Consider the following 11,018-nt stretch of genomic DNA (forward strand, 5'->3'; position numbering starts at 1 on the left):
CTCTGTCTCCTCTCTCTCTCTGCCTCGGCTGCCAGGCAGGGAAGGGCCCCCTGTCCAGTGGACACATGACCCACGTGGCCTTACCTATCATTGGAGATGGCTCACTCTCCTTATCCTGCCCCTTTGTCTTGTATCCAATAAATATCAGTGCAGCCTGGCATTCGGGGCCACTACCGGTCTCCGCGACTTGGTGGTAGTGGTCCCCCGGGCCCAGCTGCCTTTTCTTTTATCTCTGTCTTGTGTCTTTATTTCTACACTCTCTCGTCTCTGCACACGGGGAGAGACCCACCGTCCCTGTGGGGCTGGACCCTACTTGGGACTGCCAGGGCCATGAGTGGTGAGGAGAGAGTCCTGGGATGGATTCTCCCTCGGAGCCTCCGGAAGCATCAGCCCTACCGATACCTTGATTTTGCACTTCCAGCCTCCAGCACAGTGAGCGAATCTGTTTGTGCTGTTTTACGCTACTCCTCCATCTCTGGTGCTGCTCCAGCATGACCCCCGTGGTAAGAACAGTAACGTGACAACAGCTATGTGTTCGCGTGCAGGGATGCGTCCCAGCATTTATTCCCATGCACAGAGTGGGTCGTCCTACTGCCTGCCCACGCACAGAAGTGGTGGCCGCTGCGGCACACCCTCCCTGGCCTCACTCAGGCTGTGCCCCAGGGCGGGGGCGTACCCTCCCTTCTGCTCGGCCTCTGAGCTTCTCCACCCCTTGATGCTGCCAGGCCATTTCAATTTATTGGAAGTTCTCTAGGGCTGCTCTTAGCCATTGAGCCATCCACCTGCCCTCTGAGCCTAATCTGTGAATTGGCTTTTTTTTTATTTTTTATTTTTTTCAGAGACAGGGTCTCACTCTGTTAACCTGGAGTGCAGTGGTGTAATCACAGCTCACGGCAGCCTCAAATTCCTGGGCTCAAGGGATCCTCCCACCTCAGCCTCCTGAATAACTGGGACTATAGGCACATGCCACTGCACCCAGCTATTTTTTAAAACTTTTTGTAGAGCCAGTCTTGCTATATTGCCCAAGCTCATCTTGAACTGCTGGGCTCCAGGGATCCTCCTGCGTCAGCCTCCTGAGTAGCTGGGAGTGCAGGCGTGAGCCGCTGTGCCTGGCCCCCTGTGCGATGCCTTGTGATGCCAACTGCAGGTTCGCTGCTCACTGCCTCCTCCTCTTCCACCTTGCAGATCTACTGGGGCTCCATGGTTGTCACCTCAGAGTCTTCCCAAGCCTCTCCCTCCTGTGAGGCATGCAGGTGAGCTGCTCTCTGAATTCCTGCAGATTTCTTTCCCATTGGCAGGTGGACGATCCCCGGGCTTGCAGGGCTCAGGACTGCTGTCCTGGATGCCAGGAATCCTAGGGTGGGAGAAAGCCAGGGGGTTCCAGCTCTGGGGGGTCAGAGGAGCACCAGAGGACCCCTCCCACTGTCTGTCCTGGTGACCCTGCCTCCTGGTCTTCCGCCTCATGTGCAATCCCCTCCCAGGAGTGTGGACTGGACTGAGTGACTTGCTTCCAGGGCTAGAACACAGCAGAGGCACTGGGCTAGTGCCTCCCAGATTGGGCGGTGGAGACAGTGGCTTGCTGGCTTCCCAGCTCACTCCGAGCAAGCCTGTGAAGGGTACACACAGCCAGAAACAGCCGTTTCCAGACAGCAGCCATGAAGGCCTGTGGCGGCCAGCAACCAGCTTGGAAGCTGGTATGTGCGCACATGTGTGTATGTGAAGTACTGATTAGGAATAATTATTTCCAAAATGATTTCAGGAGGATAGCAATATATTTAGTCATAACTCAATCCTAAGGAATAGAGGCATCTATTCAGCATACAGATAAGGCAAAGTCCAAGTTGAAGATAATTGACACCTATGGTGAGCTCTCCTCGTGTCAACAGCCCTCCCTGGTGGGATCTTGGCGTATGCACCAAATTGCTTTAAAGGACTATTTGCGTGACAGTGAGACCGCACAACAACTCACATCACTCACTCCTTTTTTGTTGAAGGGGTCTTTACCCACTCTTGCACATAGGTTAGGATAATTGTAGAGCACTGAGATAAAATGCAAGGACAGTAGTTTTCATGTAGTTTTTGAAACTAATTCGAGGATTGAAGGGAAAGCATGTAAACAGCTATCTATATTTTGTTGAAGATTTACAGGAGCATTGTGACCTGAAAAGGAAGAGGAAGTTCCCAACCTCCTTGGAGCCTCATTGGCACCCAGCTGTCATCCATCACCCCTTGATCGCAAGCCCTCCTCTTTCCCCTGCCCTGAACTTGTAAAGGGCCTGAACCTCATACTGGCATGAGATGGTTCCTGAGGATGCTCATTCGCATCTGCTGGGCTTGCTGCTCTCCAAAATGAAGTTGCCTTCTCGGCTTCAACTCCTTGTCTGGACTGATTGGCTGTCATGCAGCAGCAGCACAAGTTTGGACTTGTTAACCTTTGGACATTTTTAGTTACTTATGAAACTTGCTGGCGGGGCGCGGTGGCTCATGCCTGTAATCCCAGCACTTTGGGAGGCTGAGGCGGGCAGATCACCTGAAGTCAGGAGTTCGAGACCAGCCTGGCCAACATGGTAAAACCCTGTCTCTACTAAAAATACAAAAATGAGCTGGGCGTGGTGGCACATGCCTGTAATCCCAGCACTTTAGGAGGCTGAGGCGGGCAGATCACCTGAAGTCAGGAGTTCGAGACCAGCCTGGCCAACATAGCCAAACCCCGTCTCTACTAAAAATACAAAAATGAGCCGGGCGTGGTGGCGCATGCCTGTAATCCTAGCTACTCAGGAGGCTGAGGCAGGAGAATCACTAGAACCCGGGAGGCGGAGGTTGCAGTCAGCTGAGATTGTGCTGATGTACTCCAACCTGGGTGACAGAGCGAGACTCCGCCTCAAAAAAAAAGAATTGCATTTTGTCAGAAGAGCAGCACCAACAAATGAATACAAAGCTGTCTGACAGGTAGTCCTTGTAACGGTCGAACATTCCTCACCCTCTCTTCTCTCTGTACCTGTGATACTGTACAGCAGAAGGAAAGACCCTTCTGTAACTGACCCGGCCCTACACATGAGCCTCACCACAGACCAGCAGGGACAAAAGCTAGGTTTGATTCTGTTCCTTGCAGTAATTAAGTCAGGCCCCGTCAGATGAAGCTCAGTGTCTCCAAGCTGAGGGTCGGGCCTCTCAGAGGGCTCAGTCTTCCACAACATGCTCCCTTTCCAGGGTTGGCGTCTGGACATGTTGGGAGGGGCTCTTATGACCTTGGGGTTGGGGAAGAGTCTGGTTCTTTGGCTGTCTGTGGAACCTCCTCTGGTCTTGCTTTGTTGCTACTTTTGGGAGATCAGTTGTTAGTCTACCTCTTGTTCACAGGCAATCTGACTTTTCTTTCTGGCTGCCTTTCAGACCTTCTCTCAGCCTTTGGATGTCTGCAGTATCACTAAGATATGGATAGGGGCCGGGTGCCATGGCTCACGCCTGTAATCCCAGCACTTTGGGAGGCCGAGGCGGACAGATCACGAGGTCAGGACATTGAGACCATCCTGGCTAACACAGTGAAACCCTGTCTCTACTAAAAATACAAAAAACTAGCTGGGCATGATGGCGGGTGCCTGTAGTCCCAGATACTCAGGGGGCTGAGGAAGGAGAATGGCATGAACCTGGGAGGCAGAGCTTGCAGTGAGCCGAGATTGCGCCACTGCACTCCAGCCTGGGCAACAGAGCAAGACTCCATCTCAAAAAAAAAAAAAAAGAAAGAAAGAAAGTTAGAGATTGGGGACACTAATTTGGATATTAATGTCTTTGATCTGGAAAATTCTAAACCTTTATCCTTTCCGATGTTTCCTCTGCCCCATTCTGTATCTTCTGACCTTCAAGGACTCCATTTGATGTATGTTGGACCATCTTACTGTTCTCTTTGCACCTTAGCTTCTCTCCTGCTCTTCCCAGCTTTTATCTCCGTGTGCTATATTCTCCAAAATTCCTTCTACTCTGTCTTCCATTTCACCGACTCCCTCAGTGATTTGTCTGACATGCTGGTTAAATCTGCCCATTGAATTCTTAACTTTAGTTATTGCTGTTTACAGTTGACCGGGGCTATTTTATGGTCTTTGTGGGTTTGTTCTGTCATTTCTGTGGGTTCTCACTCATGGAGTCTTCATTCCTGATGTGCTCTGGTTTCTTCGCTTGTGTGCAGACCATTTTGAGAAGTATTTATAGGAATAAGCTGAAGTCACCACATGATGCATCCTCTTCCAGAGAATTTTGTCCACTTGTGACAAGGTCTGGGTGTTGCTCATCTGGAACTGCCTTATCCCAAACTCAAGGCTTTAAGATCTTCAGATCACCCTAGTAGGCAGAAGTCTGTGCAAGGGCTGCTGGACCCTTAGGTTGTGACCCCTCAGGAGCTTCTGTAAAGTAGGAGGGTCTTTTGAGTTTCTCACCTTTGGTGGATCCTGGTTGGTCTGATGTCCCAGAAGCACCAGCTCCCTCTCTGTCTGGATTGTAGAGCTGTGTCCACAGGCCACTGTGGTTGAAGTTGGGGCAGATGTGAGTCCCCATCAGTGCCCTGGGCTGCGCACAGCTTAGTGTGCATTCTGACTCTAAGTTGTTGCCCTGGTGTGGGCTGTTGCCCCCACGTCTGCTGTGAGGCCACCTGTCCTCACTGTGGGCCCTACGGCATAGATGTAAGCTCAACCTCAGCCTCTGCATTACCTGGGAAGCATGAGGGTCTCACCACACTCTGATGGTGCCACTCCTCTCTCTCAACCACAGGAGCCCCTCCTGTCCGCACTGGAGTGCCCTGCCCTTGGTGTTCGCCTACTTGTCAGTATGTCTTTTTTTTTTTTTTGAGATGGAGTCTTGCTGTGTCGCCCAGGCTGGAGTGCAGTGGCGCAATCTCTGCTCACTGCAACCTCCACCTCCCGGATTCACACCATTCTCCTCCCTCAGCCTCCCGAGTAGCTGGGACTACAGGCACCTGCCACCACACCTGGCTAATTTTTTTGTATTTTTAGTAGAGACGGGGTTTCACCGTGTTAGCCAGGATGGTCTCGATCTCCTGACCTCATGATCCACCCTCCTCGGCCTCCCAAAGTGCTGGGATTACAGGCGTGAGCCACCACACCCGACCAGGATGTCTTTTTATTTTTAGAGATGGAGTTTTGCTCTCGTTGCCCAGGCTGGAATGCAGTGGTGCGATCTCGGCTCACTGCTGAAGGGGTGGGTTGCCCCTCCACACCTGTGGGTGTTTCTCGTTAGGTGGAACGAGAGACTTGGAAAAGAAAAAGACACAAAGTATAGAGAAAGAAATAAGGGGACCCGGGGAACCAGCGTTCAGCATATGGAGGATCCCACCAGCCTCTGAGTTCCCTTAGTATTTATTCATCATTCGTGGGTGTTTCTCTGAGAGGGGGATGTGTCAGGGTCACAAGACAATAGTGGGGAGAGGGTCAGCAGACAAACACGTGAACAAAGGTCTCTGCATCATAGACAAGGTAAAGGATTAAGTGCTGTGCTTTTAGATATGCATACACATAAACATCTCAATGCTTTACAAAGCAGTATTGCTGCCCGCAGGTCCCACCTCCAGCCCTAAGGCGGTTTTTCCCTATCTCAGTAGATGGAACGTACAATCAGGTTTTATACCGAGACATTCCATTGCCCAGGGACGGGCAGGAGACAGATGCCTTCCTCTTGTCTCAACTGCAAGAGGCATTCCTTCCTCTTTTACTAATCCTCCTCAGCACAGACCCTTTACGGGTGTCGGGCTGGGGGACGGTCAGGTCTTTCCCTTCCCACGAGGCCATATTTCAGACTGTCACATGGGGAGAAACCTTGGACAATACCTGGCTTTCCTAGGCAGAGGTCCCTGCGGCCTTCCGCAGTGTTTGTGTCCCTGGGTACTTGAGATTAGGGAGTGGTGATGACTCTTAAGGAGCATGCTGCCTTCAAGCATCTGTTTAACAAAGCACATCTTGCACCGCCCTTGATCCATTTAACCCTGAGTTTGACACAGCGCATGTTTCAGAGAGCATGGGTTTGGGGTAAGGTCACAGCATCTCAAGGCAGAAGAATTTTTCTTAGTACAGAACAAAATGGAGTCTCCCATGTCTACTTCTTTCTACACAGACACAGTGACAATCTGATCTCTCTTGCTTTTCCCCACACACTGCAACCTCTGCCTCCACATTCAAGTGATTCTCCTGCCTCAGCCTCTTGAGTAGCTGGGATTACAGGTGCCTGCCACTATGCCTGGCTAATTTTTTTTTTTTTTTTTTTTTAGTAGAGACAGGGTTTCACCATGTTGGATGTCAGTCAGGCTGGTCTCAAACTCCTGAGCTCAAGTGATCTACCCGCCTCGGCCTCCCAAAGTGCTGCGATTGCAGATGTGAGCCACCATGCCTGGCCTGTCCAGATGTTTTTGAAACAACCCCCACCAGCACTGGAGGGAGTCAAGGGAAGACAAGCCAGGCATCTGAGCTCCTCTGTCTCTGCCTTTCCTTCTCACTGTCCCCAGGGTAACCCATCACCACCCCCATCACGAACCCCATCATGAACCCATCACCAATCCTATCACAAATGCCATCTCGAACCTCAGCACCAGCCCCTTTGTGAACCCCATCATGAACTGCGTCACTAACCTGTCTTCCAAGCCTATTGTCTTGCTGCAAAGTCTACTTTGAATATAAATCAGAATATAGGCCAGACGTGCCGGCTCATGTCTGTAATTCCAGCACTTTGGGAGGCTGAGGCAGGTGGATTGCTTGAGCTCAGGAGTTCAAGACCAGCCTAGGCAACATGGCGAAACCCCAGCTCTACAAAATCTGCTGGGCATTTGTCTTTGACTTTCTAGTCCTTAAAAAAAAATCAGCTGGGCATGGTGGCACACACCTGTAGTCCCAGCTACTTGGGAGGCTAAGGTGGAAGGATCGCTTGAGCCCAGGAGTTCGAGGCTGTAGTGAGCTGTTGTACCACTGCACTCCAACCTGCGTGACAGAGCGAGACCCCATCTCAAAAAAGAAAAAAACAAAAAAAAAGAAAAAAGAAAAATGTGAATCTGAATATTCACTCGTTTTTTCTTTTGGGATTCTTTCCATAACATTCCTAATTTTCTTGCCACTAGAAGGATGACTTGGGCTGATCGGGGAGAAAATCTCTTTTTCGGATAGGAAGAAAAAAGCCACACGAATGTTAAAACTAACAAAAACAACAGTGTGCTTCTCCTTTCTGTCATTCTTGTGGATGTTTTTCAAACACTTCCAGGATTTGAATTTTATTTGTACTCACAACTGCTGAGTGAGTTAAGTGTTATTATGATGACCTTTTTTTTTCTTTTTTCTTTTTTTTGAGACAGAGACTCTGTCGCCCAGTCTGGAGTGCAGTGGCGGGATCTCAGCTCACTGCAAGCTCCGCCTACCGGGTTCAAGTGATTCTCCTGCCTCAGCCTCCTGAGTAGCTGGGATTACAGGCACCTACCACACTCAGCTAATTTTTGTATTTTTAGTAGAGACAGGGATTCACCATGTTGGTCAGGTTGGTCTCGAACTCCTGACCTCATGATCCACCCGCCTCGGCCCCCCAAAGTGCTGGGATTACAGGCCTGAGCCACCGCGCCCAGCCATGATGACCATTTTACAAAAAGGGAAACTGAGGCACTGAGCCATGAAGTCACTTTCGGAAGAGCCCACAGTTATGAAAGAGCAGTGGTGGCACCAAGGGCAGGGGTTCCATCCCAGGACTTGCCATCTGGCCCTTTGTAGGAGCATCCTTTGTACTTAGAGATTGGAGAGAAATTTTGTCAAAAGATCCCAGGAGTCTCCAAATCTACCCTGGTTCTAAACGTGAGGCGCAAGTACCTGGAGCATGGTGACTGAGGGACTCCCCTGGAGTGTGTCTGCCTCCCGTCACCACCTGCCCCAGAGAGTGCCACGTGCGAGTCCCGCTGGGAGGCCCCTGCGTCCTGCTGCCCCGCGGCGCATGCTGCCCAGCGCCCCAGCCTCCTGCACCCAGGCCTCCTCCCAGTCTCCAGCCGGCTGCTGTCCATCCAGATGCCACTCCAGTGCAGCCAGTGGAGCAGGGCCAGGAGTGTAGGTGGCCTGACCATCCCCTTCCCCAGGGCTCTGAGAAAGGCTTCTCCTCCAGCAGTGTTTCTATCCGGGGGGCACAGGGCAGCAGTGACCAGCACAAGCTTGCGGGGCGAGGACACAGCTTGGAGTTGGGCGCTCGTGAGTTCCCACCCTTGCCTTGAGGACCTGGGCTTGTTACACCCCCAGGACTCCGGTTCTTCACCTGTAAAATCAGAAGAGCACTTCTGGAAACTTCTGGGCTGGCAGAGATGGAGCACAGCCACTACAGCTCCTCTCTCCCTTTGGACAGAATATAAAAAGCGACTCCTGGAGGACTGTGAAACGCTAACAGTAGCAGCTGGCTGGGGAGGAAACTCAAAACTTACCAACAACTGGCATGGAGGTTTACTGTTTTTGTTTTGTTTTGTTTTGTTTTTCCCCAGCTGTATGTGCGGCTTTGATCTGAGGATGGGGGTGTCTCACAACTGTGCCGTGGGTGCAAAGACCGACAACCCCAATACAAACCCGCCTTTCCCTCTGCAAATAAGAGTGCGTAGGAGAAACCCCCACTTCCCTCTCCTTTCTCTCCTAACCCTGTCCCGGCCTGCTCTTTGGTGGCATCACAGACCCCTGCGATCCTGCACGAGATTCCACCTGTATTGACAGAGGAGCTGGGCACAGGGCTCTGTGGTCCAGAGCGTGTGTGTGCAAGGTCCCTCTCTTATTTTCCCTGTCTTTTCTCTTGCTGTGTTGCCCCGAGCAGGGCCCAAGTCGTGTGAAATGGATGACAGCACAAGGAACTAAGACTCTGAGAAAAACCCTGGCTTTCTAAATGGACTCCTCCTAGGAGCCTGAGTGTATGGGAACCCCACAGAGCAGCGACCTGGAGGAGGGGCCTCCACGCTGAGCATGAAACAACACAAGCTCGGTGCTTGCCTGAGCTGAGCAGCACGTGTGGGGAACAGGCCGCACAGCAACAGCCTTGAGAATTGAGCCAACACGGATCCACTGCACACAGCGGCTGGGATACGGCTTGTGGCCTGACCCAGCCGGGATGAGTGCCCGCCAAAGTGAAAATGCCAACATTCTCAAGCGCGTTCTCGCAGGGCTCAGAGCCTCGCATCTGATTATTTAAAACATCCAGGATACAACCCCAAATTACCCAACATGCCAAGGACTGGAAATTGGATCCGGTCTCAGGGGAAAAGACAGACAGTTGCTGGCAGAACCCCAGGACTCAGATGCTGGAGGGACCAGGAAAAGATTTCACAGCAGCAATTCCAGCCCGATGCTCCCCGCGGCAAGAGTGGACACCCCAAGAATGAGTGAAAAGACAGACGTTCTCAGCAGGTGGAAATGGTAGAAGTGAAAAACATATTACCTGAAGTAAAAAATCACCTGAAGTAAAAAAGCTGGCCAGGCACAGTGGCTCATGCCTGTAACCCCAGCACTTTGGCAGGCCGAGGCGGGCAGATCGCTTGAGTCTAGGCGTTTGAGACCAGCCTGGGCAACATGGAGAAACCCTGTCTCTACTAAAAGTACAAAAATTAGCCAGGCATGGTGGCACACAGCTGTAGTCCCAGCTATTCAGGAGGCTGAGGCATGAGAATCACTTGAACCCAGGAGGCGGACTCCGCAGTGAGCTGAGATCACGCCCCACTGCACTCCAACCTGGGCAACAGAGTGAGACTCTGTCTCAAAGTAAAAAAAAAAAAAAGGCTTACTGAGTGTCTCAATAGCAAAAGGGGGATTACAGAGGAAGGAGTCAGTAAACTTACAAAGAGATCAATAGAAATTATCTAATCTGAAAAACAGGAGAAAAGATTTTTTAAAAAAATGAACAAAGCTTCAGAGAGCTGTGAAACAATATCAAAACATCTATCACTTTTGTATTTGAAGTTCCAGAAGGGGAATGGAAAGATATTAGTACATAAAACATTTATTTTGAAGAAATAATGGCAGAAAAGTTCTCTAATTTAGTGAAAGATATAAACTTATGAAAATCAAAAAGTTTGGCCAACTCCAGATGGGATAAACTCAAATCAAATATTTTATGTATTTATATGTGTAAAATTCCTCACCAGCAGACTTTATTTACTTTTTTTGAGAGGACACAGCTTGGAGTGGGCGCTCATGAGTTCCCACCCACGAGCCAAGGTGGACACTCACTCTGTTGCTCAGGCTGGAGTGCAATGGTGTGATCTTGGCTCACTGCAACCTCCACTTCTTGGGTTCGAGTGATTCTCCCACCTCATCCTCCCGTGATTATAAGCAACATCACGCCCAGCTAATTTTTGTATTTTTAGTAGAGACAGGGTCTTACCATGTTGGCCATACTGGTCTTGAACTCCTGACCTCAAGTGATCTGCCCGCCTTGGCCTCCCAAAGTGCTTCACCTGCCAACTTTAAAAGAAAATGCTAAAGAAAGGTATTTAGCCTGAAGGGAATGATACCAGAGGGAACCTGGAACTTCAGGAATGCAGAAAGAGCAATGGAAATGGTATATATTTAGAGAACCATAATATGCTGTTTTCACTTTTTAAATCATTAAAAATATCTGGTAGCTCACGCCTGTAACCCTAGCACTTTGGGAGGCTGAGGCGGGCGGATCACGAGGTCAGGAGATCGAGACCATCCTGGCTAACATGGTGAAACCCCGTGTCTACTAAAAATACAAAAAATTAGCCGGGCATGGTGGCAGGTGCCTGTAGTCCCAGCTACTCGGGAGGCTGAGGCAGGAGAATGGCGTGAACCCAGGAAGCTGAGCTTGCAGTGAGCTGAGATCGTGCCACTGCACTCCAGCCTGGGTGACAGAGCGAGACTCCGTCTCAAAAAAATACATCTGTATATCTATATATCTATATCTATATATCTATATCTATATATCTATATCTATATATCTATATCTATATATCTATTTATCTATATATCTATACATCTACATATCTATCTATATCTATATCTATG

Source organism: Homo sapiens, chromosome 8 (assembly GCF_000001405.40).
Source record: "Homo sapiens chromosome 8, GRCh38.p14 Primary Assembly".
In the NCBI taxonomy this organism is placed as follows: domain Eukaryota; kingdom Metazoa; phylum Chordata; class Mammalia; order Primates; family Hominidae; genus Homo; species Homo sapiens.